The 23,869-nt window shown below is 44.3% G+C and overlaps 1 protein-coding gene and 1 pseudogene across 2 annotated transcripts in view, besides 4 other annotated features; one reads left to right on the top strand and one right to left on the bottom strand.

Annotated features, from left to right (window-relative positions):
* PSMD11 (proteasome 26S subunit, non-ATPase 11) overlaps nt 1-6,999 on the bottom strand; it is a 38,810-nt gene extending 31,811 nt beyond the window's left edge. For both annotated transcript variants that reach the window (NM_001270482.2, NM_002815.4), the window contains exons 1-2: nt 6,895-6,999; nt 4,463-4,564 (exon numbers count right to left, since the gene is read on the bottom strand). In NM_001270482.2, coding sequence (NP_001257411.1) covers nt 4,463-4,564; nt 6,895-6,985 — 193 coding nt within the window. In that variant the 5' untranslated portion in view covers nt 6,986-6,999. The remainder of the gene's footprint in view (nt 1-4,462; nt 4,565-6,894) is intronic.
* Nucleotides 6,603-7,218: an enhancer, noted in NCBI's record as "H3K27ac hESC enhancer chr17:30771309-30771924 (GRCh37/hg19 assembly coordinates)". NCBI's record gives its function as "activates a minimal SCP1, AML or CMV promoter by ChIP-STARR-seq in primed H9 embryonic stem cells {active_cell/tissue: H9 hESC(primed)}" and the evidence as "EXISTENCE:reporter gene assay evidence [ECO:0000049][PMID:30033119]".
* Nucleotides 6,603-7,279: a biological region, named in NCBI's record as "H3K27ac hESC enhancer GRCh37_chr17:30771309-30771924".
* Nucleotides 6,910-6,989: an enhancer, noted in NCBI's record as "active region_12030". NCBI's record gives its function as "activates an Ori minimal core promoter by ATAC-STARR-seq in GM12878 lymphoblastoid cells {active_cell/tissue: GM12878}" and the evidence as "EXISTENCE:reporter gene assay evidence [ECO:0000049][PMID:35858748]".
* Nucleotides 7,110-7,279: a silencer, noted in NCBI's record as "silent region_8421". NCBI's record gives its function as "represses an Ori minimal core promoter by ATAC-STARR-seq in GM12878 lymphoblastoid cells {active_cell/tissue: GM12878}" and the evidence as "EXISTENCE:reporter gene assay evidence [ECO:0000049][PMID:35858748]".
* NUDT15P2 (nudix hydrolase 15 pseudogene 2) lies at nt 16,080-23,422 on the top strand (annotated as a pseudogene).

The raw sequence follows: 23,869 nt of genomic DNA, 5'->3' as shown, positions 1-23,869 counted from the left end.
TCTTCCTTATACCTCTCCATGATTTTTCTCAGAATAATATATGGCTCTATAGTTATATCTGCTAAAACTATTTTTTTGATAATAAAAGAAACTGTTAGAGCCTAGAGACCTGAACTTATTTACAGAGACTATCTGCTCTGTCTTCTCTCACCTACCATTAATTATCTCTTTCTGCTGTTATTTCTATCTTTTGCAGTTTGAAAATCATTTTCCTTCCTAGAAAAGGCAGAAGTGAAATATGAGCTAAGCAGTGTGCCTTTCTAACACCTGCTAGCCTTACAATATTTTCTCTAAGCACTGAGTGTTATCCTTCTTACGCCGAAAGAAGCAAATGATCTCTTAGTTGTCCCCCTACATGTCTTTTTCTTTTTTCTTTTTTTTTTTTTTTGAGAAAGAGCCTCACTCAGTCACCCAGGCTGTAGTACAATGGCACAATTGTGGCTCACTGCAGCCTTGACTTCCCAGGCTCAAGTGATCCTCCTGCCTCTGTTTCCCAAGTACCTGGGACACAGGCACGCACCACCACACCCAGTCAATTTTTTTATCTTTTTTGTAGATATGTGGTCTCCTTATGTTACCCATGCTGCTTTAAAAAAAAAAAATTTTTTTTAACAGAGATAGGGTCTTTGCTGTGTGGTCCAAACTGGTCCACATAACTCCTGGCTTCAAGCAATCCTCCCACCTCAGCTTCCCAAAGTCCTGGGATTACAGGTGTGAGCCACTGTGCCCACCTGCATTTTTCAGACTCAGTTCATCATCTGTTTTAGTCTACTACTGTTTTATATTCATTCTTGTTTGTATTTCCTGTTTCCTTCCACTTTCATACATACTGAGTTAATTTTTTTTTAAGTCCCATAAAATCATACTGACTTCCTCCTATTCTTACTGGGATTATCTGTAATTATATGACCAGATTTTCCTTGTCAGAACCTCACAGAACTTGGCTGGGCGCGGTGGCTCACACCTGGAATCCCAGCACTTTGGGAGGCCAAGGCGGGTGGATCACCTGAGGTCAGGAGTCCAAGACCAGCCTGGCCAACATGGTGAAACCTCGTCTCTACTAAAAGAAAAAAAAAAAAAAAAAAATTAGCCGAGCATGGTGGCTCACGCCTGTAGTCCCAGCTACTTGGGGAGGCTGAGGCCCGAGAATTGCTTGAACCCAGGAGGCAGAAGTTGCAGTGAGCCGAGATCACACCACTGCACTCCAGCCTGGGCAACAGAATGAAACTCGGTCTCAAAAAAAAAAAAGGCCAGGCACAGTGGCTCATGCCTATAATCACAACACTTTGAAAGGCTGAGGTGGGTGGATCATTTGAGGTCAGGAGCCCAAGATCAGCCTGGACAACATGATGAAACTCCGCCTCTACTAAAAATACAGAAATTAACCGGGGGTGGTGGTGGGCGCCTGTAGTTCCAGCCACTTGGGAGCCTGAGGCAGGACCTCACAGAACTCAACAGATTCCTTTTAGAAGTTTTAGGCTATGAAATCCTGAGCCAAGGCATCATGTCTGATGATGCTCAACACTACTAACACTACTTGCAATCACAATTACACATCAGACATTGTTTTATTTGGTAATCCCCAAGTGATTTTTGTTGGCCAGGGATCCTATCTTAAATTTTTGAGTAGAATACTTAGCACAATGCTATGCATTTATTAAATGCATAAAAAAACTGAACATTAATGGAACAGACATATTTTCTGTTCTCAGGAGCAAACAATACAAACATATCATTAATAGCAAAGACAGCTAAATATATGTAGGCCTCAACACTTCCTTAGAGTTCCCATTGTGTATACCTATACTCATCAAACTTTCTTAGAAAACAATAAGTAACATGGAAATGTTTTTGAAAGTTCTTATAATTCATCTATTAAATTCCAATAGCTTTAGCAGTACACTTCTAAACTTCTCAGGTCACAAGGCAGGAAGGGCAAGAAATAAGGGGAGAATACATATAAAATAGGAATTTCAAGCAAAACAGTAACATTTTTGGATGAAAATTACTTAAGTATTGACTATATACCACACACTGTTCTTAATTCATGCCACTGGAGGAAAGTAGAAATTTGGATATTTCAACAACAAAAAAATCTTTTTTTGAGACAGGGTCTTGCTCTGTCACCCAGGCTAGAGCACGGCAGTGTGACCATAGCTCACTACAGCCTCAACCTCCTCGGCTCAAGCAATCCTCCCACCTCAGCCTCCAGAGTAGCTGGGACTACAGGCACATAACACCACACCCAGCTAATTTTTCTATTTTTTGTAGAGACAGGGTCTCATTATGTTGCCAGAGCTGGTCTCAAATTCCTGGGCTCAAGGGATCCTCCTACCTCAGCCTACCAAAGTGCTGGGATTACAGGCATGAGCCATCACGCCTGGCTAACAACAAAAAAAATTTTCACATCACTTCAGTTGGCTTTATAATTCAGAAAAATTACCTTATTATATTTTGCATGGAGTAATTATCAAAACTGTTTTGGAACCCCCCAAGCTCAAATTAACTGACAGACAAGTGGAATCCTTATGTATGTTAAATAGGAAGGAAGTCAGCCTAAGATGAAAAGACACCACCCACCAATGATAATTCATTTAAGTAGACAGTTATAGGAAAGCAATAACCATGATGTCATGTGGCTATATGGGCTCTGAAGTAAGACTACATGAGCTCAAATCCTAGGTCTACCAGTTATTAGTTGAATGAGCTTTGTTAAGTTATTTAACTTTTCTGTGCTCAGTATCCTCATGTGTAAAATGGTAACAAAACCTACTTCAAGTTGTTTCGAGGATTCAATTAAGTTAAACCATGTATGTGTTTAGAAGAGTAACCACTTGGCCAGGTGCAGTGGCTCACACCTGTAATCCCATCATTTTGGGAGGCCAAGGCAGGTAGATCACCTGAGGTCAGGAGTTCAAGACCAGCCTGACCAACATGGTGAAACCTCGCCTCTACTAAAAAAAAAAATACAAAATTAGCCGGGCATAGTGGCGCATGCTGGCAATCCCAGCTACTCGGGAGGCTGAGATAGTAGAATCGCTTGAACCTGGGAGGCAGAGGTTGCAGTGAGCCGAGATCGCACCATTTGCACTCCAGCCTGGGCAACAAGAGCAAAACTCTGTCTCAAAAATAATAATAATTAAAAAAAAAAAAGTTCATAGCACTCAAAAACCATTATGGATGGTTCTTTTTATAGCTACTTAATGATGTTTTAAGTAAGATATAAGGCCCATGTAAACACATCCTCACAATTTCATACATCTTTATTCAGCTCTATAGACTGAGCCTAATAATTAATAAGTTAGTTATCTTTAATTGAAAAAAATCACTGGCCGGGCACAATGGCTCACACCTGGAATCCCAGCACTTTCGGAGGCCGAGGTGGGTGGACCATGAGGTCAGGAGTTCAAGACCAGCCTGATCAACACAGTGAAACCTCGTCTCTATTAAAAATACAAAAATTAGCCAGGCTTGGTGGCGCGTGCCTGTAATTCCAGCTATTCCGGAGGCTGAGGAAGGAGAATCGCTTGAACCCAGGAGGCGGAGGTTGCAGTGAGCCAAGATCGCACCACTGCACTCCAACCCGGGTGACACAGCAAGACCCCGTCTCAAAAAAAAAAAAAGAAAAAGAAAAAAAAAATCTTTAGTTCTCAAGTTGAAGAAGTTGTGCTAACTAACCCCCATCATTCTCTTGAACAACATAATTTTAGGGAAAATAATTCATGAGGTCACTTACCAGATCTTAATCCAATCTAATCAAATAAGCTCTAAATTCACTTTAAACTTGACAAAAATCACCCATTTAAGTTTAAACAGACTTCTCTCTAAATACTATTACCACTTTACTGGTAAAAGGTCCTTCCTGATCAAAAGGACTCCCTTCTCATTCCAAGGACACACCCATCATCAGAATATTATGTCAAATCTAATCAGTCAATGGTTCAATTACAACTAGAATGTTTGAGCAATGATGTGCACAAAGTCCTAGGTATGAATGCAGAAGTCTTGGGAAGGCTCCATTTAATGTCTTATTCATTCTCATTCTGAATCTATCAAAAAAAAATGACAGTGAGTCACTTGGATACAAAATCCTTTGTCATTTTTAAATCAGGCGCTTAAAGTTGTTATCTATCTTAAATACATCAGAGTTGCTCAGTGAAATTATTGAAGACTGTTGCTGCCTCTATGTAAGGGAATACAGTGAGAATTCAAAAACCAGAAACAAATCAGAAATCACTATATCCCAACAAAAATAAGATTGTCTCTCATTTGCAAAACTAAACTACCAGGAAAGAAGTGAGTTTAAAGGCCACTTAATTGCCTGCTAAAAAACTGAAGCTCAACAAGTTGCCAAGAAAATAAAGCTGAATTCAGTTTGTGGATCAGTCCCATGATTCTTCACTCCAACAAAAGACAGGAATTTCACTGAGCATTTCAGATACAATCCATGTGTAGCACTTACCTGCAGCTTGTCCAGTCTTTGCCAGGAGAGATCCCAGTTCCAGGATGCTCTGCTCTTTGACTTGCACTGCCTCTTCATCGTTTTCCTGAATGTCACGCTTCACTGGGAGAGGAAAATGCAAACCCTCTTAAAATTCTGACCAAAAAATGAAGACTGAGGGAAATTTCACCCTCATAAGATCCATTACAAACTCAAACATATTTACCAAAAGACAAATTCTAGAGTTAAAAAAAAAAAAAAAACTCTAAGCCAGGAAAAAAAAAAGATCATATATACGTAGAATATGCTCCATGTAAATCATAAAAAAAGGATTCTTCTCTTTGATTTTAAATGTGCCTTTTCATTCTACCCAGCAGAATTTTGCTTACCTACATACACTAAGTTTCTGTTGTGGTCACTTGGTTAAAGTGAAATTAAAACAAAACAAATCCTTCATACTTATGGTGCCAAGATCTGTTCCAGTCACTATTTTATGGGAAGATATTAAACATGCCTGTGCGTTTATGCCACAAACTAAAATCAATTGACCAAGTTACTGATGCCTGTAAGTCAAAAGCGTTTCAATAAACTTTAGGTCTGTGCAAAGCCTCAGCTGATGGGTGTGTTAGGGATAAGCAGGTCTATAAAGCCATTCAAGAAAAACAACTCTATCAAAGCCCCAGATCCTGCACAGCTACACTTAGGGGAGACTGCTGCTTTTTAATGCATTGAGGTCTGTTAAAATAACTTTGTGCTATCTGTCCTATTTTCAACAGTTAATAACTATTTTAACATTCAAACATGGAATAGCCTCTCCAAGTTTGTAGTGATCATCACTAGTTACTACTACTCTTACAAAGCATCATGACTTGACAAAAACCATGATGGAGTCCAGAAAAAGTAAGGCCGTCAACCACCATGACTCAAGCTTGCTCTAACAGTGAAGCTTTCAGGGAACTCTCCCCTAGAATAGTGGGCCAACAGGAAATACTCTAATTGTAATATTTGACGTAATTTCTACTTTATGAAAGAAAAAATATTAGACACTAGACACAGACTATTAAAATTCATGCTCCTCACATTAGTTCTAAATAATAGTGTGTACTCAGAATAAAATATCCATGTAACGGTGATTGAGATGACTCTGGTTCCGTAGAAGTAACTGACCTAAGATCAGAACTTTTAAAATGAAACACCTTTTACCAATATCATTCAAAGATACACCTTGACGCCCACTTCCTCTCCTTCTCTAGTATCCCCAATGATAAAGTATCAAGATCTTGTCATTGTCCTTTCTCCGTGCAGGTCTGGAATACCAAAATTCAACACACTAAGTCAAATGCCAACATCTTGCAAGTCCCACATACAGGTGCATTCTCATACTACTTGTTGAGCCAATTCAGATCTTCCCAAACTACACTACAAAGATGCCATTACATGTGCAGTGAAGAGCTAGTCCAAGCCCTAATTGAATCCTTTATGAGTGAACATTAACGTCTTCTTCTGTCGTAATAAATTTCTGTTCACACTTGAATCCCAACAGAAAGCTGCCGGAAGCGACTGGCTGGGATTCCCATTTCAGTTTTCCTGTTGTGTGTAGGTGTAAGACCATCGTTATTACAGCGTTAAGAAATTTTAATTTTTCCGGCAACATGCAGCCGACCCGTTCCAAAGAATTCCCTGAACTCCGCGGCTGACAACTAACTCCCTTAACTCACTTCCAACCCCTACAGGCAGTCTGGAAAGATTAGTCACCTCCTCTAGCCAGGCGGTCCCGCTCCAACACCTCACTCTTACACCCTACACAGAGCAGATGAGCGTCTCGGCCACCTCCACAAACCAAATGCCAATCTGAGGTGTGTGTCACCCCTGAATTTCCCACATTCTGAAAGAGACCCTCCTCTTAGTGGAGCTTTCTGCCGTGGGGCTGAGGAGTAGCAGCTCCCAGCGTCCCGTGGAAGGAAACTCCCAGAGAAGAGCAAGCGCTCGCGCTCCCACCCGGAGCAGGCTGTGCTGATTACAACGGCGGGAAATGCCTGTCCAGAGCTGGTTTCGCCAAGGCCTTTCAAGTAGAGACTCTAGGACCAGTCCGTGACAAGCACGCCGGCCGGCACTGCTCCGGGTCCCAGACCAGCTCGTGCGGGCCAGAGCCGGGGACATGGCTAGGGAGGGATCCCCGGGGGCCCGGCTCGGCCCACTCTCCCACCCTACGCTGAGCCCCCCGTGAGTCAGCAGCCGGCGAGGGGACCCGGGGATTGCCTCAAGCCCTCCCACAAGAGTGAGACCTGGGAGGCTCTGGGGAGCTCCGAGCGGCCTGCGCCCCCGGCCCGGCCCCCCTCACACAGTGAGTCAGCAGCATCAGAGCCGGCTAGCCGGGCCCCTCTCCGCTGCCGCCGACCGACATAAGCCGAGCTGGGCCGGCGGGGCCGGGGAGGCGGCGCGGCGACCTTTACCGATGGAGTGGAGGATGTCGATGGAGGCCTCCCGGTCGGTGCTGAGTAGAGACTGGGCTCTCTGGAACTCCACCACCGCCGCCGCCGCCATCTTACCGCTCTCACACCGTCCCCGGCCGCGGCCGCCGACGCCGGAAACACACACCCGGAAAGCCCGCCCTCGGGTCCCTCCGCCTGTAGCTCCCGTGGCTCCGTTCCCAGAGCACTCCGGGAGTTGTAGTCTCTCCGCCGGGCGCGGGCTGAGGGGTGGGGAGAGCGGGACCGCCTCGCAGGTGGGCTGCAAGCTCCCCAGCGCCTCCTAGCGGGCGGCCGGCGAGGAAAAGAGGCGGTGCCCCGCAGTGGGAGCTCTAGATCGGTCCCCGCCCACCCCAAAAGAGGCTTCTTGATTCCGGCCCCGCTCGCGCACCCCTGAGAGGGGTTCCTGAGTACTGGGCTAGGTATTGAGTCAAAGCTGCGTGGCTTTCTTTGCGGCTTCCACGATTTAACCATTCATTCGGGACGATAAGTGACCTTATAAAGTGCTCGCTATGTGGCAAAGAATAGCACCATTCGAATGCGTTCCAGTGTCTGACGCCTGTGCGCCGCACACACGCTTTCCAGGCTTGACTCCCGCAGAACGCTGGCCGGCAGGTGGGCAAACCCGCCAGGACCGGAGAAAACTGTCCTCACGCGCCCATTTAACCTTGGGACAGTGCTGGACGTGATGAAGTGAAACATCACCTTTGCTCCATTCACGCCACAAATACCTCTTGGGAATCCACAGAAGCCTCACCCAGCTCCCCAGCTCAAAGAAAAAAAAAAAAAAAGGAAGGAAGGAAGGGAGGGAGGGAGGGACGGAGGAAGGAAAAAATTGAATTATTCTTCCCAATATCTTCAGCCCCTTCAACTAAAGTCACAGATATCAGTGAAGACGTCGTGTGGACGGAAAAATGACATTCTATGAGACCACTTAGGGTTAAACTTAAGAAAGGTGCTAAAAGGATACAAAGACAATTCAGTATTAAGGAAGACCTTTCTCTAGGTGATGACGATCCAAAAATGGAATGTGCTGTCCCATAAAAGGAGGCAAAAAGGGGACTAACATTGCACACCCTCCTCTGTAAGTGGATTAGGCCATTTATATTCCTCTATCTCCTTTTATTCTCCCAACAATGTTCTGTAAAGCAGATATTTACTCCCCTTTAATATGTGAGGAAACAGGGGTTTGAGTTATTTGGTGAAGCTCAAATCGTGATTGGGAGAGATAAGAGCTGCCGGTTAGGGAATGCCTTCCTAATTCCTGGGTGTGTTCACGTGAAAAGTAGTTGACATCTCATCAGGTTGTTGTAAACAGGATTCATGACTTTGATGGAGAGTTGGATTAAATGGCTTCTAGCAAGGCGCGGTGGCTCATGCCTGTAATCCCAGCACTTTGGGAGGGCGAGGTGGGCATATCGCTTGAGCCCAGGAGTTTGAGACTAGCCTGGGCAACATAGACCCCCGACTCTACTAAAAATACAAAAATTATCCGGGCATGGTGGCGCACGCCTGTAGTCTCAGCTACTTGGGAGGCTGAGGTGGGAGGCTTTAGAAGAAATCATAGGAGAGGATAGAGTGCTGGCCTCACTACAAAGAGGGAGTACCATAAAACAGTGGACCCCAACATTTTTGGCACCAGGGACCAGTTTTGTGGAAGACAATTTTTCCACGGATGTGAGGAGGGGGGATGGTTTTGGGATGAAACCGTTCCACCTCAGATCATCAGGCATTAGATTCTCATAAGGAGCAGGCAACCTAAATCCCTGGCATGCTCAGTTCACAATAGGGTTTGCCTCCTATGAGAATATAATGCTGCAGCTGATCTGACAGGGGGCGGAGCTCAGGCAGTAATGCTGGCTCCCCAGCCGCTCACCTCCTGCTGTGAGGCCTGATTCCTAACAGGCCACTGACCAGTAGTGGTCCTTGGCCCAGGGTTGGGGACCCCCACTGTAAAAGACTAGGAGTGTCTGCCAGATCTTTCTCCCAAGCTAGTGAGTCTTGCTGACTGTGGAAACTTATGAGCCCATCCCTGTGTGATCATCATGGTGAAAGTTTTGAGATGAACTAGACATGTCTCTTGAGGAGTTTGGCATGTGTGCACATTCATGAAGATGGGCACCCACTTCTAGCCTGCAGAATTCTGAATTAGGGAAGCTGGCTGGCACACTCTACAATAGGACAGGGAGAAAAGGCAACAATAGGGTAGCTTCCACTCCCTGTGTTTGACATGGCAAGGTTCTTATGAGCCAAGAGGATGCTGAAAAGGTAGATCATCCGGGACCTTCTTAAAGGAACCTATTCAGTAGGACCGTATGCTAGTGTAAGGAGACCCAGAAATAAGTTGATGGAAGTGTGGACTTCAGGAGGCAGTCACTGATGGGAGTCTTGAGATCCACAGGTAGATCCTCCAAAGAACACAAGAATACATAAATGCTCCCAACGAGAAAGAACCAGCACCTGGGTCTCTGCCTCTGACGTCATCAGTCATGTAAGAGAAGAGACCTTGACCTCTTTTAATTCCTCCTACTTCTCTGCTTTCACCAAAACCTCCTCCACCCTGGAGGAAACCCAGAAACAGCAGAGTGAGAGGGTGGAGAATGAAAAGAGTGAAACTGCAGACCAAACACAAATTTTCAACTGCCTGAGACTTAGAGACAGGGGAAAAGCTTTAAGTTAGATATGAAATTAAAGTTTTGCTTTAGGCTAGACTGGACTTTCAATCATTATAAATGGCATAAAAGAGATTTAGGGGCCAGGTGCAGTGGTTCATGCCTGTAATCTCAGCACTTTGGGAGGCTGAGGCGGGCGGATCACGAGGTCAGGAGTTTGAGACCAGCCTGGCCAACATGGCAAAACCCCGTCTCTACTGAAAGTACAAAAAAATTAGCCAGGCATGGTGGTGTGTGCCTGTAATCCCAGCTAGTCAGGAGGCTGAGGCAGGAGAATTTCTTGAACCCAGGAAGTGGAGGTTGCAGTGAGCCAAGATCACCCCACTGCACTCCAGCCTGGGTGACAGAGTGGGACTCTGTCTCAAAAAAAAGAGAGAGAGAGAGAGAGATTTATGAGATTTTCCCATGGCATCTCCAGGGCAAAGGAAGGAAAATCCAATATTTGCCTTCAACTAGGCTAGCCACTTAGTAGCTGATGACTTTAACATGTTTCTTAATTTCTCTGATCTTTGGTTTTCTCATCTACAAAACAGGGATAATAAAATCTAGCTCACCACCTGTAATTCCAGCACTTTGGGAGGCCATCTTCATTACATAATACTGAGACTCTATATTATAGGGATCACAAACTACTGTGTAGTAGTCACCTGTCATTGATTGCATCCACAGGTTAACAATGTCCCTAAATGTAAGTATTACTAAAATGAAAGTCATTCTCAGAAATGTGACATTCTCAGTGTCACACTCACCCTCTTACTATGCCATTCTTCCCCACTTTGAGATTCTTTGTACCTCCTCTGTATATCTCTAATGCTCTGGCCTTGTGAGAGTCTGGTTAGCATCCTCCTTACTGTGGTCCACAAAGTGTCGCATAATCTGGCGCCTGCCTACTTCTCCAACTTCGACTCTTATCACTTTGCCCCTTACACACTTTGCTCAGCTGACCTTTTCTTTTTTTTTTCTTTTTTTTTTTTTTTTGACTCTAACATGCCACGTTCCTTCTCACTTCAAAGCCTTTATATTTTCCCCTCAAAGGTTTCAGCTCAAAGGTCATTTCCACAAAGTGGCCTTCTGTGCAATCCCATCATAAGTAATCTCTTATGCCTTCAATCTAGTAACCATCACATCATTCTATTTCCTTCCTAGCATTTAACACAGTCTGTGATTTTATTACGTCAATTTTTAAATTTTTTTAATGTAAATTTTATTTTTACTTTTTTTTTTTAATTTTAAGTTTTTTAGACACAGGCTGGGCACAGTGGCTTACACCTGTAATCCCAGCACTTTGGGAGGCTGAGGTGGGTGGATCACCTGAGGTCAGAGTTCAAGACCTGCCTGGCCAACATGGCAAAAACCCGTCTCTACTAAAAATACAAAAATTAGCTGGACATGGTGGCAGGCACTTGTAATCCCAGCTACTCAGGAGGCTGAGGCGGGAGAATCACTTGAACCCGGGAGGTGGAGGTTACAGTGAGCCGAGATCAGACCACTGCACTCCAGCCTGGGCAACAGAGCAAGACTTCGTCTCAAAAAAAAAAAGGATTTTAGAGACAGAGTCATGCTCTGTTGCCTAGGCTGGAGAGCAGTGGCATGATCATAGCTCACTGTAGCCTTGAACTCCTGGGCTCAAGTGATCCTCCTACCTCAGCCTCCTGAGTAGCTGGGACTATAGGGATGCCCTACAATGCCGGGCTGATTTTTTTTTTTTTTTTTGAGATGGAGTCTTGCTCTCTTGTCCAGGCTGGAGTGCAGTGGTGCGATCTCTGCTCGCTGCAACCTCCGCCTCCTGGGTTCATACCATTCTCCTGCCTCAGCCTCCTGAGTAGCTTGGACTACAGGCGCCCGCCACCACGCCCAGCTAATTTTTTGTATTTTTAGTAGAGAGAGGGTTTCACCGTGTTAGCCAGGATGGCCTCGATCTGCTGACCTCGTAATCTGCCCACCTCGGCCTCCCAAAGTGCTGGGATTACAGGCGTCAGCCACCATGCCTCACCCAGCTGATTTTTCTTTTTTTGAGAGACAAGGTCTTGCTATGTTGCCCAGGCTGGTCTCAAACTCCTGGCCTCAAGGGATTCCTCCCACCTTGACCTCCCAAAGTGCTGGGATGACAGGCATGAGCCACTATGCCCAGCCTGTTTCACTTGTTTGAATCTCATCTCCCTCCAAAAGGTTGCAGGACTACATGCTATAGAAAATGAGCGCAGAATTTGAAGTCAGACAAACATGGAGCTCAATATTATCTCTGCTACCAACTAATAGTCAAATTACTTAACTATCTGATACAAAGTTTGATCATCAGTAAAACTACTTTAAAAATTGATTTTACTTAATGGTTGTACAATAATGTGATTGTATTTAATGCCACATAACTTTTTTTTGTTTTGTTTTGTTTTTTGTTTTTTGGGTTTTTTTTGAGATGGAGTCTCATATTGTCACCCAGGCTGGAGTGCAGTGGTGTGATCTCGGCTCACTGTAACTTCTGCCTCCTGGGTTCAAGAGATTCTCATGCCTCGGCCTCCTGAGTAGCTGGGACTACAGGCACCCACCACCACGCTCTGCTAATTTTTGCATTTTTAGTAGAGACAGGGTTTCACCATGTTGGCCAGGCTAGTCACGAACTTCTGACCTCAAGTGATCTGCCTGCCTTGGCCTCCCAAAGTGCTGGGATTACATGGGTGAGCCACCGCGCCAGGCCAGAACTGTACAATTTTAAATGGTTAAAATGGTAAATTTGATGTTATTCATATTTCACCACAATTTTAAAATTTTACTTCACAGATTTGTTGAAATTTATTTTTTTTAAGAGACAAGGTCTTGCTATGTTGCCAAGGCAACTCCTGGATTCAAGACATCCTCCTGCCTTAGTCTCCCAACTAGCCAGAACTACAGGTACACACCACTGTGCCCAGCTTTGAAGTTTAAATTTTTAAAGACACTAGAACACTTCAGTGCTATTACTGACACATATATAAGTATTCAATCAGTGGCAGTTATTAAAATTGCAATTAAGTCGCTGATTAAATTAGCTGATTAGCACCCACTACTCCCCTTCCTCAGGGAGCCCAGTTGGAGGGCTAAATGAATCTTTAATAGATAATTTTCATAGTAATAGAGTGGTGATCAATTGTCAGTTCTATTTCCCTTTTATTTTATTTTATTTTTTTTAGGAGACGGTGTTTGTTCTTGTTGCCTGGGCTGGAGTGCAATGGCGTGATCTCGGCTCACCTCAACCTCCGCCTCCCAGGTTCAAGCAATTCTCCTGCTTCAGCCTCCCGAGTACCTGAGATCACAGGCGCCCACCACCACACCCGACTGATTTTGTATTTTTAATAGAGACGGGGTTACTCCATGTTGGTCAGGCTGGTCTTAAACTCCCAACCTCAGGTGATCCACCCACCTCGGCCTCCCAAAGTGCTGGGATTACAGGCATCAGCCACTGCCCGCAGCCCAACAGGTAATTTTCATAGTAATAGAGTGGTGATCAATTGTCAGTTCTAGTTCCCATCTTAAGCTTCCTCACCCTCAGTCTCGTCTCCCTCCCCTCCCTGTCACGCTTCTTTCTGTCCTCATGCCACCCCCAAACATGCTACACAGCCCTAATTTTCCCTATGCTACTCTATATTCCAAAACAATTTTTTTCTATATAGCTCTTGATTGTTCACCGATCTTTCTAAACATTTTGTATCCCAAAGTTGAGCAAATAGAGGAATACTATGATGTACTATCCTGCCAATACAAGCATATATGCTCCTCCTTCTCCTCTCTCTCCTACCCTATTGTTACTGGAAAAAGGAGTCTTGGTCCAGACCCCAAGAGAAGGTTCTTGGCTCTCGCACTGGGAAGAATTCAAGGAGAATCGGAGTGCAGTGAGAAGAGATAGTTTATTGAAAGCTACTCCATTATAGAATAGAGTGTCCTTGGAAAGCAAGTGGAGGAACACATAGTCTTTAAGTTTTTCTTCTATAGGGATCTTTGTCTATACAAAGACTAAACTAAGCTGTGCCTACATGCGGATGGGCAGACAGCATGACCAAATTTATTATGGTATTGATTTAAAGAAACCTATCCTTGACATTCTACTGTGTGAGTACATCAAAGCATAACTATCTTTAAAAAAAAGCATAATTATCTTGAAAGCAAATCTTGTTATGGGTATTGGGACATCTGGGCTTTTCTGTTTTTGTAGAAGTCTGTCCTTGCAGGTAATCTTTAGGTTGTTTCCTCAACTATAAACATCTTATGACCATGGGTCATGCTAGTTTTTTTTTTCTTCAGAGTCTCACTCTTGTTGCCCAGGCTGGAGTGCAATGGTGCAATCTCGGCTCACTGCAACCTCTGCCTTCTGGGTTCAAGCGATTCTCCTGCCTCAGCCTCCCAAGTAGCTGGGATTACAGGTGTGCACCACCACACCCAGCTAATTTTTTTTTTGAAACGGAGTTTCGCTCCTGTTGCCCAGGCTGGAGTGCAGTGGTGCGATCTTGGCTCACTGCAACCCCCGCCTCCAAGGTTCAAGCGATTCTTCTGCCTCAGCCTCCCGAGTAGCTGGGATTAAAGGTGCCCACCATCACACTGGGCCTAATTTTTGTATTTTTAGTAAAGACAGGGTTTCACCATGTTGGCCAGGCTGGTCTTGAAGTCCTGATCTCAGGTGATCTGCCCAGTCCAGCCTCCCAATGTGCTGGGATTACAGGAGTGAGCCACTGCGCATGGTGTGTCTTGCTGGTTTTAAGATGGAGTTGATTGGCCGGGTGAGGTGGTTCACACCTGTAATCCCAATACCTTGGGAGGCTGAGGCGGGCAGATCACCTGAGGTCAGGAGTTCGAGACCAACCTGGCCAACATGGCAAAACCCCATCTCTACTAAAAGTAGAAAAATTAGCCGGGCATGGTGGCAGGTGCCTGTAATCCCAGCTACCCAGGAGGCTGAGGCAGGAGAATCGCTTGAACCCAGGAGGCAGAGGTTGCAGTGAGCTGAGATTGGGCCACTGCACTCCAGCCTGGGCAACAAGAGGGAGATTCCGTCTCAAAAAAAAAAAAGATGGAGTTGATTTTAAAATGACCTTATTCTGGCTCTCCTAGGCTCCTGCTTCCCTAACGCTATGACAAGGAGTTAAGGCTTGCAGTTCTACACTAGTGCTGACTCCATAACTATGCATTCATTACCATTCGAGCTCTGGAGAGGGGGAAAAATAGTAAAAAACAAGGAAAATGTACATTATATTTTTATCTCTTTTGGGGAACCCTTCTCTCACATACTGCCACATCTCCCCAGACCTCCAGACACCTTATCGTATTTGAATTGTATTACAGTTCTCTTTTAGTGAAAGTCTGTTAGTGATAACCTTGTCTTTGACTTTATTTTACTCTCACTCTTTATTGATAGTTCAAGTGGGTATAAAATTCCTACATTGTAACTTTTCAGTCAACATTTTAAAGGTGACTGTCTTCAGTCTAATCGAAGTTCCTTTGTAGGTAATCCATCTTTTCCCTGTAGTTAATTTTAACAAATTTTTTGTTTTCAGCTTTTATCAGCTTCACTACAAAATATTTACATCCTGATCAGGATGCACCAGCTTTCCTGAATCTCAGGATTCCTGCCTCCCAGTAATCCTGGAAAATTATCTGCCATTATCTCTTCAAATATTGCCTTCTCTGTCTCCCTTCTATCTTGGAAATCTTATTACATGTAAGTTAGATCTGCATTGTCCAGTATAATAGTCACTAGCCACATATGGCTGTTGAGCACTAGCTAGTCCAAACTGAGCTGCGTGTGGTATAAGTGCAAAATACACACTGGGTTTCAAAGACAGTAGGAAAAAAAGAATATAAAATATTTATTCGTGACTTTATATTACACAATGAAATAATATTTTGGATTAATTTCATGTGTTTCTTTTTACTTTCTGTTAGGTTGGTACTAGAAAATTTAAATTATGCATGTATGTATCTCATATTATATTTCTATTGGACTGTGTAAAACTATCTGCATCTCTTTTCCATATCTTTTATATTTTCTATCTCCTTGTCTCTCCATACTACCTTACAAGGAATTTTCTTAATTTCATTTAATAGTTACTGGATTATATCATCAGCTCTTTCTAATCTGCTACTTAATCCATCCACTAAACTTGTTTTGCTTTGTTTTCCAGACAGAGTCTCGCTCTGTTGCCCAGGCTGGAGTGCAGTGGTGCAATCTCAGCTCACTGCAACCTCTGCCTCCCGGGTTCAAGCGATTCTCTGGCCTCAGTACCCTGAGCAGCTGGTACTACAAGCGCACGCCACCATGCCTATTTTGTTGTTGTTGTTGTTGTTGGGGTTTTTTTTTGTATTTTTAGTAGAGATGGGGTTTCACCATGTTGGCCAGGCTGGTTTCGTACTCCTGACCTCAAGTGATCCGCCTGCCTTGGCCTCCCAAAGTGCTGGGATTACAGGCGTGAGCCATCGCGCCCAGCCCATTCACTCAACTTTAGTGTTAACCAACTTAAAACATATTTTTTGGTCCTCCTGCTTGCACTATGACAGCCAACATGAAGCCGCAGGGGCGGCCGCCCAGAGTCAGAGTCTGAGTTGTGGTGACCAGCTGCAAGCATCCGTGTTGTGTCCTCCTGGGGAGGAGGAAAGGGTCATTTGGAGCCAGCAGTTTTCAGCTTTCTGGGGGTCATTTTGGAGTTCAGTAAGAACTGGGAAGAATGTGCTCAAAGGGAAACCTGGGAAGAAGCTCTTCACCTGAAAAATGTTCGCTTTGCCTCAGTTGTGAATTCTTTCACTGAGAAGAATTACCATTATGTTACTGTATTAATGAAAGGAGAAGTGGACGTGACTCATGATTCAGAACCAAAGAATGTAGAGCCTGAAAAAAATGAAAGTTGGGAGTGGGTTCCCTGGGAACAATTTCCTCCTTCTGGGCCCTGTGTTCTTTAAAAGAACAAAACTATGTTCCATTTAAAGAAGATCTGAACCATCTGGTAGGATACAAAGGAAATCATCTCTAGGTGGCCAAGAAGATTTCTTGATTTTCTTTAAAAGACAAAAATAAGGTCAGGTTAGGGAATGAAAAATATCTACATTTCGGTGCAACTCCATTTTATCTAAAAAAGTTCTTGTGATCACCAGTTTATTTGCAGTCTCTTAATGTACCCACCACCCTTTCAGCTAGTACTTGATAACATTTTTCTGAAATATGTATAATTGAATTATATTTCAGACACAGGATATATGATAAATACTGATATTATGGGTAATCTGCTTTCCATATTTACCTGTGATATTTACTGTGCAGTTTGTCATTACTAGCTTGCATGGAATAGGATGCAGTCGAATTTGCCTTAGTGTTCTGTTCAAATAGAAATCAGAATTCAAATATTGTAGTTTAGATTCAAACACAGTATGCCTGTTGCAAAATTTACCAAGTTTGTTGATTTATTAATTTAAATTATTTTTAAAATTATTAATTTATTTTTAAAAAGTGGATTGGGGGTAATACATTGTGATAGTCTTTGCAACTTACAGGGAATGGGACAGGCCATTAGGGTGTATTTCCCAGGTTTCCAACTGAGAACCTAAACCCAGAGAAGTGAGACAAACCATCTAATGTCTGTATCCTACTATTGACAGGCTGTGTGATGTTGGATTTCTCATTTACTCTCTCTGAGGTCCAGGGTCCTTATTTGTAAAATGATGACATTCGTCTAGAGCAGTGGTTCTCAAAGTATGGTCTGGGGGTCTTCAAGAGCCTTTGAAGAGTATCCTAGGTCAAAGCTATTGTTATAATACTAAGACATAATTTATCTTTTGCACTCTCATTTTCTCATGAGTGTCCAGAGGAATTTTTGAGCAGCTATCTGGTGTGATATTATAACAGGCTGAATAAAGAAGTAGATAAGAGAATCTAGCTTTCATCTACCGTCAGACATTAAAGATACTTGCAAAAATGTAAAGCATGGCCGGGCACGGTGGCTCACGCCTGTAATCCCAGCACTTTGGGAGGCCGAGGCAGGCGGATCACGAGGTCAGGAGATCGAGACCATCCTGGCTAACATGGTGAAATCCCGTCTCTACTAAAAATACAAAAAATTAGCCGGGCGTGGTGGTGGGCGCCTGTAGTCCCAGCTACTCGGGAGGCTGAGGCAGAAGAATGGCGTGAACTGGGGAGGCGGAGGTTGCAGTGAGACGAGATCACGCCACTGCACTCCAGCCTGGGCAACACAGCAAGACTGTCTCAAAAAAGTAAAGCAGTTGGGACTCTTCTCACTAATGAATTTTTCTTGTTGTTTAGAAAAATAGTTATTTTTTGTGAGTCTTACTATGTGAAAAATAGCTATTTTTCAAAAAAATTATTTAATTTAACACATATTGGGCTTTTGTTACTCATAAATAATTAGTAATTTTTTTTTTGAGATGGAGTTTCGCTCTTGTTGCCCAGGTAGGAGTGCAATGGGGTGATCTCGGCTCACTGCAACCTCTGCCTCCCAGGTTCAAGCGATTCTCCTGACTCAGCCTCCCGAGTAGCTGAGATTACAGGCATGAGCCACCATGCCCAGCTAATTTTGTATTTTTAGTAGAGACGGGGTTTCTCCAGGTTGGTCAGGTTGGTCTCGAATTCCCAACCTCAGGTGATCTGCCCGCCTCGGCCTCCCCTAGTGCTGGGATTACAGGCGTGAGCCACCGTGCCCAGAGAAAATAATGAAAATTTTAAGAAAAAAATAAATAAAACCTATTTTTTAATTTTTACAAGATTGGTTTGGTCCTTCTCTAAAGCTGACTTTTTTCAAAGTATCATATTATTTGCTTATGCTTTGGGTTCCGTCTTTTGTGTTTTTCATTCTTTAAAACAAAGTCTCTAATCTGTATCTGATCATTATTGCTATTCATGGGAGCCTGGTCCTGCAGTTTGTTGTGTCTGCTGACTCTCCCTCCTCCAGGATTGTTTTCTCCTGTATTTGTAATTATGGATTATGAGCTCATCTTCAACTGGGTTTTATCTTTGTTATTGCTAGGAGATCTGGGTTGAGTTCACTTCTGCAATCACATCTCAATATTATGTGTTCATGACTACATTGATGTTAGTTTACAGAGTTTGGGGAATTTCTCCACTACAAAGATAATATGATTTAATCCCTGATATAGTTTGAACGTGTGTCTCTGCCCAAATCTCATGTTGAATTGTAATTCCCAGTATTGGGGGTGGTGCCTGGAGGGAGGTGATTGGATCATGGGGGTTGATTTCTTATGAATGGTTTAGTACCATCCCTTGGTGCTGTCCTCATGATAGCAAGTGACTTCTCTCAAGACCTGGCTGTTTAAAAGTGTGGCACCTTGGCTGGGCATGGTGGCTCACACCTGTAATCACAGCACTTTGGGAGGCCAAGGTGGGCGAATCACTTGAGGCCAAGAGTTCGAGATCAGCCTGGCCAACATGGTGAAACCCCATCTCTAGTAAAACTACAAAAATTGGCCAGGCATGGTGGTGGGCACCTATAATCCTAGCTACTCAAGAGGCTGAGCAGTCTGAAAAATATAAAATAAAAAATATATAAAAACAACAGGCTGGGTGCAGTGGCTCACACCTGTAATCCCAGCACTTTGGGAGGCCAAGGCGGGCAGATCACGAGGTCAAGAGATCGAGACCATCCTGGCCAACATGATGAAACCCTGTCTTCTACTAAAAATATAAAAATTAGCTGGGTATGGTGGTGCACGCCAGTAGTCCTAGCTACTCATGAGGCTGAGGCAGGAGAATCACTTGAACCCAGGAGGCAGAGGTTGCAGTGAGCCAAGATCACACCACTGTACTCCAGCCTGGTGACAGAGCGAGACTCTATCTCAAAAAAAAAAAAAAAAAAAAAAATATATATATATATATATATGTGTGTGTGTGTATATATATATGTGTGTGTACATATATATATATGTATATATATATATATATATATATATATAAAATAAAAGTGTGGCACCTTGCTCTCTCTTGCTCCTGCTTTCACCACGTGATGTGCCTGCTCCCACTTTGCCTTCTGCCATGATTAGAAGCTTCCTGAAGCTTCCCCAAAAGCAGATGCCACATGGCTTCCTGTGCAGCTGCAGAACCATGAGCCAATTAAACCTCATTTCTGATAAATTATTCAGTCTCAGGTATTTCTTTTTCTTTTACTTTTTTGAGACAGAGTCTCGCTCTGTCGCCCATGCTGGAGTGCAGTAGTGCAATCTCGGCTCACTGCAACCCCTGCCTCCTGGGCTCAAGCGATTCTTGTCCCTCAGCCTCCCGAGTAGCTGGGATTACAGGCATGAGCCACCATACTCGGCTAATTTTTTTGTAGTTTTAGTAGAGATGGGGTTTTGCCATGTTGGCCAGGCTGGTCTCAAACTCCTGACCTCAAGTGATCCACCTGCCTTGGCCTTCCAAAGTGCTGGGATTATAGGTGTAAGCCACTACACCTGGCCTCTGGTATTTCTTTGTAGCAACACAAAAACAGCCTAATACAATTCCCAAATGAGAAAGTCATAAAGTTACAATTTACCAGAGCAGATTTTTATTTATTTTTCTACCCAGGCTGAAACAAATATGTTTCCTTGTTGGCTGCCTGTGTCAGGGGATACAGGGGATAGCTTTTTTTTTTTTTTTTCCTGGCTACCTCTTTCATTGAAGGGACAGCCCTTTGAGCATCCTGGCTTTAGATAGGTATCTTAGTTTCAATTTCCATGTTGACCAAGCTAAAGCTCTTGTCTCTTTCCCTATGTGTGGTTTAAAATCCAAGCCCCAAGATTATCAGAAGATAAATTCCATCTGCATTAGTCTGTTATCACACTGCCAAAATGAACTACCTAAGACTGGGTAATTTATAAGGAAAAGAGATTTAGGCCAGGCACAGTAGCTCATGCCTGTAATCCCAGCACTTTGGGAGGCCAAGGTGGGTGGATCACCTGAGGTCAGGAGTTCGAGACCAGCCTGGCCAACATGGCAAAACCCCATCTCTACTAAAAATACAAAAATTAGCCAGGCATGGTGGTGGGTGCCTGTAATCCCCGCTACTCAGTTGGCTGAGGCACGAGAATCACTTGAACCTGGGAGGCAGAGGTTGCAGTAAGTTGAGATCGCACCACTGAACTCCAGCCTGAGTGACAGAGTGAGACTCCTCTCAGGGGAAAAAGAAGAAAAAAGATAAGAGGTTTAATCAGCTCATGGTTCTGTGGGCGGTACAGGTTTCTGCTTCTGGAGAGGCCTCAGAAAACTTACAATCATAGTGGAAGGCAAAGGGGAAGCAAGCACATCTTCACATGGCTGGCAGAAGAGAGGGGGGTGGAGGAGGTGCTACACACTTTTAAACAAGCAGCACTAAGGGGATGGTGCTAAACCATTAGAAACTGCCCCCATGATCCAATCACCTTCCACCAGGCCCCTCCTTCAACACTGAGGATTATAATTAGACATGAGATTAGGGCAAGGACACAGAGCCAAACCATATCATTCTGCCCCTGGCCCCTCACAAATCTCATGTCCTTCTCACATTTCAAAACAAAATCATGCCTTCCTAACAGTCCCTCAAAGTCTTAACTCATTCTAGCATTAACTCAAAAGTCCAAGTCCAAAGTCTCATCTGAGACAAGGCAAGACTTCCCTTCCACCGACGAGCTTGTAAAGTCAAAAACAAGTAATCAAGTTAGTTGCTTTCAAGATACAATGGGGATATAGGCCTTGGGTAAATACACCCATTCTAAGAGAAAGAATTCAGCCAAAACAAAGGGGCTATACGCCCCATGCAAGTCCAAAACCCAGCAGGGCAGTCATTAAACCTTAAAGCTCCAAAATAATCTCCTTTGACTCTATGTGTCACATCCAGTCCACACTGATGCAAGGGGTGGGCTCCCAAGGCCTTAGACAGTTGTATATCTGTAACCTTGCAGGGCACAGACCCTGCAGGTGCTTTCATGGGCTGATGTTGAGTGCCTGTGGCTTTTCCAGGTGCACAGTGTGAGCCATTCATGGATCTACCATTCTGGGGTCTGGAAGGTGGTGGCCTTCTTCTCACAGCTCCACTAGGCAGTGCCCAGTGGGGACTCTTGTGTGGGGACTCCAACCCCATATTTCCCCTCTGCATTGCCCTAGTAGAGGGTCTCCATGAGGGCTCCACCCCTGCAGCAGACTTCTGCCTGGACATCCAGGTGTTTCCATCTGAAATGTAGGTGGAAGCTCCGAAGCCTCAATTCTTGCCCTCTGCACACATGCAGGCTTAATACCACATGGAAGCCACTAAGGCTTTTAGCTTGCATCCTCTGAAACAATGGCTGAGCTGTACCTCGGCCCCTTTTAGCCATGGCTGGAGCTGAGTGATCACGATGCAGGGTGCCAGGTTTCAAGGCTTCACACAGCAGCAGGGCCTTCAGCCCAGGCCTCCAGGCCTGTGATGGGAGGGGCTGCCACGAAGGTCTCTGAAGTGCCTTGGAGGCATTTTCCCCATTGTCTTGGCTATTAACATTTGGCTCCTCTTCACTTATTCAAATTTCTGCAACCTGCTTGAATTCTTCCCCAGAAAATGGGTTTTTCTTTTCTACCACACAGCTGGGCTGCAAATTTTCCAAAATTTATGCTCTGCTTCTCTTTTAAATATAAATTCCAGTTTCAGATAATCTCTTTGCACATGCATATAAGCATACACTGTTAGAAGCACCCACTGTTAAATGCTTTACTACTTAGAAATTTCTTCCACCAGATAGCCTAAATCATCTCTCTCAAGTTCAAAGTTCAACAGATCCCTAGAGCAGGGGCACAATGCCACCAGTCTCTTTGCTAAAGCATAGCAAGAGTGACCTTCACTCCAGTTTCCAGTAAGTTCCTCATCTGCATCTGAGACCACCTTGGCCTGGACATCATTGTCCATATCACTATCAGCATTTTGGTCACAACCATTCAGTAAGTCTCTAGGAAGTTCCAAACTTTCCCTCATCTTCCTGTCTTCTTCTGAGCTCTCCAAACTGTTCCAACCTCTGCCCATTACCCAGTCCCAAAGTCACTTCCACATTTTCAGGTATGTTTATAGCAATGCCCCACTTCTCTGGTACCAATTTTCTGTATTAGTCCATTCTAACACTGCTATAAAGAACTACCTGAGACTGGGTAATTTATAAAGAAAAGAGATTTAATCGGTTCATCGTTCTGTGGGCTGTACAAGCTTTTGCTTCTGGGGAGGCCTCAGGAAACTTGCAATCATAGCAGAAAGCAAAGGGGAAGCAAGCACATATTCACATGACCAGCAACAGAGAGGTGAGTGGGAGAGGTGCTACATGCATTTAAACAAGCAGCCCTAGAGGGATGGTGCTAAACCATTAGAAGCTGCCCCATGATCCAATCACCTCCCATCAGGCCCCTCCTCCAACACGGGGGATTACAATTAGACCTTAGATTTGGACAGGGACACAAAGCCAAACCATATCACCATCCCTCCTCCAACCAGGGCTGCTGAAATATACACTCATGCTTACTGCTCTGATCTTACACTTTTTTTCTTTGCTTTTTAACTATGATTCCTTTTTTTCCTTTATCTTTTCTTTTCTTTTTTTTTTTTTTGAGACAAAGTCTTGCTCTGTCACCCAGGCTGGAGTGCAGTGGCACGATCTCAGCTCACTGCAACCTCTGCCTGCTGGGTTCAAGCGATTCTCCTGCCTCAGCCTCCCGAGTAGCTGGGATTACAGTCACATGCCACCACCCCTGGCTAATTTTTGTATTCTTAGTAGAGACGGGGTTTCACCATGTTGGCCAGGCTGGTCTCAAACTCTTGACCTCATGATCCACCCACCTCGGCCTCCCAAAGTGCTGGGATTACAGGCATAAGCCACTGTGCCCAGCCTTTTTAACACAGGGACTCACTATGTGTTGCCCAGACTGGTCTTGAACTACTCCTGGCCTCGAGTGATCCTTCCAGCTTGGCCTCCCGAAGCTCTGGGATTATAGGTGTGAGCCACCATGCCCAACCTATCATTCTTTTGTTTTTAAAGTCTCACTATGTTGCCCAGGCTGGTCTTGAACTCCTGGGCTTGAGAGATCCTCCTGCCTGGTATCAGCCAATCTTTCTTTCTTTCTTTCTTCCTTCCTTCCTTTTTTTTTTTTTTCTGAGACAAAGTCTCACTCTTGTCACCTAGGCTGCAGTGCAGTCGCATGATCTTGGCTCACTCCAACCTCTACCTCCCAAGTTCAAGCAATTCTCCCGCCTCAGCCTCCCGAGTATCTGAGAGTACAGGCACAGACCACCACACCTGGCTAATTTTTGTATTTTTAGTACAGATGGGGTTTCACC

The sequence above is a fragment of the Homo sapiens genome, chromosome 17 (assembly GCF_000001405.40).
Source record: "Homo sapiens chromosome 17, GRCh38.p14 Primary Assembly".
NCBI lineage: Eukaryota > Metazoa > Chordata > Mammalia > Primates > Hominidae > Homo > Homo sapiens.
This window is presented reverse-complemented; position numbering and strand designations above follow the sequence as displayed.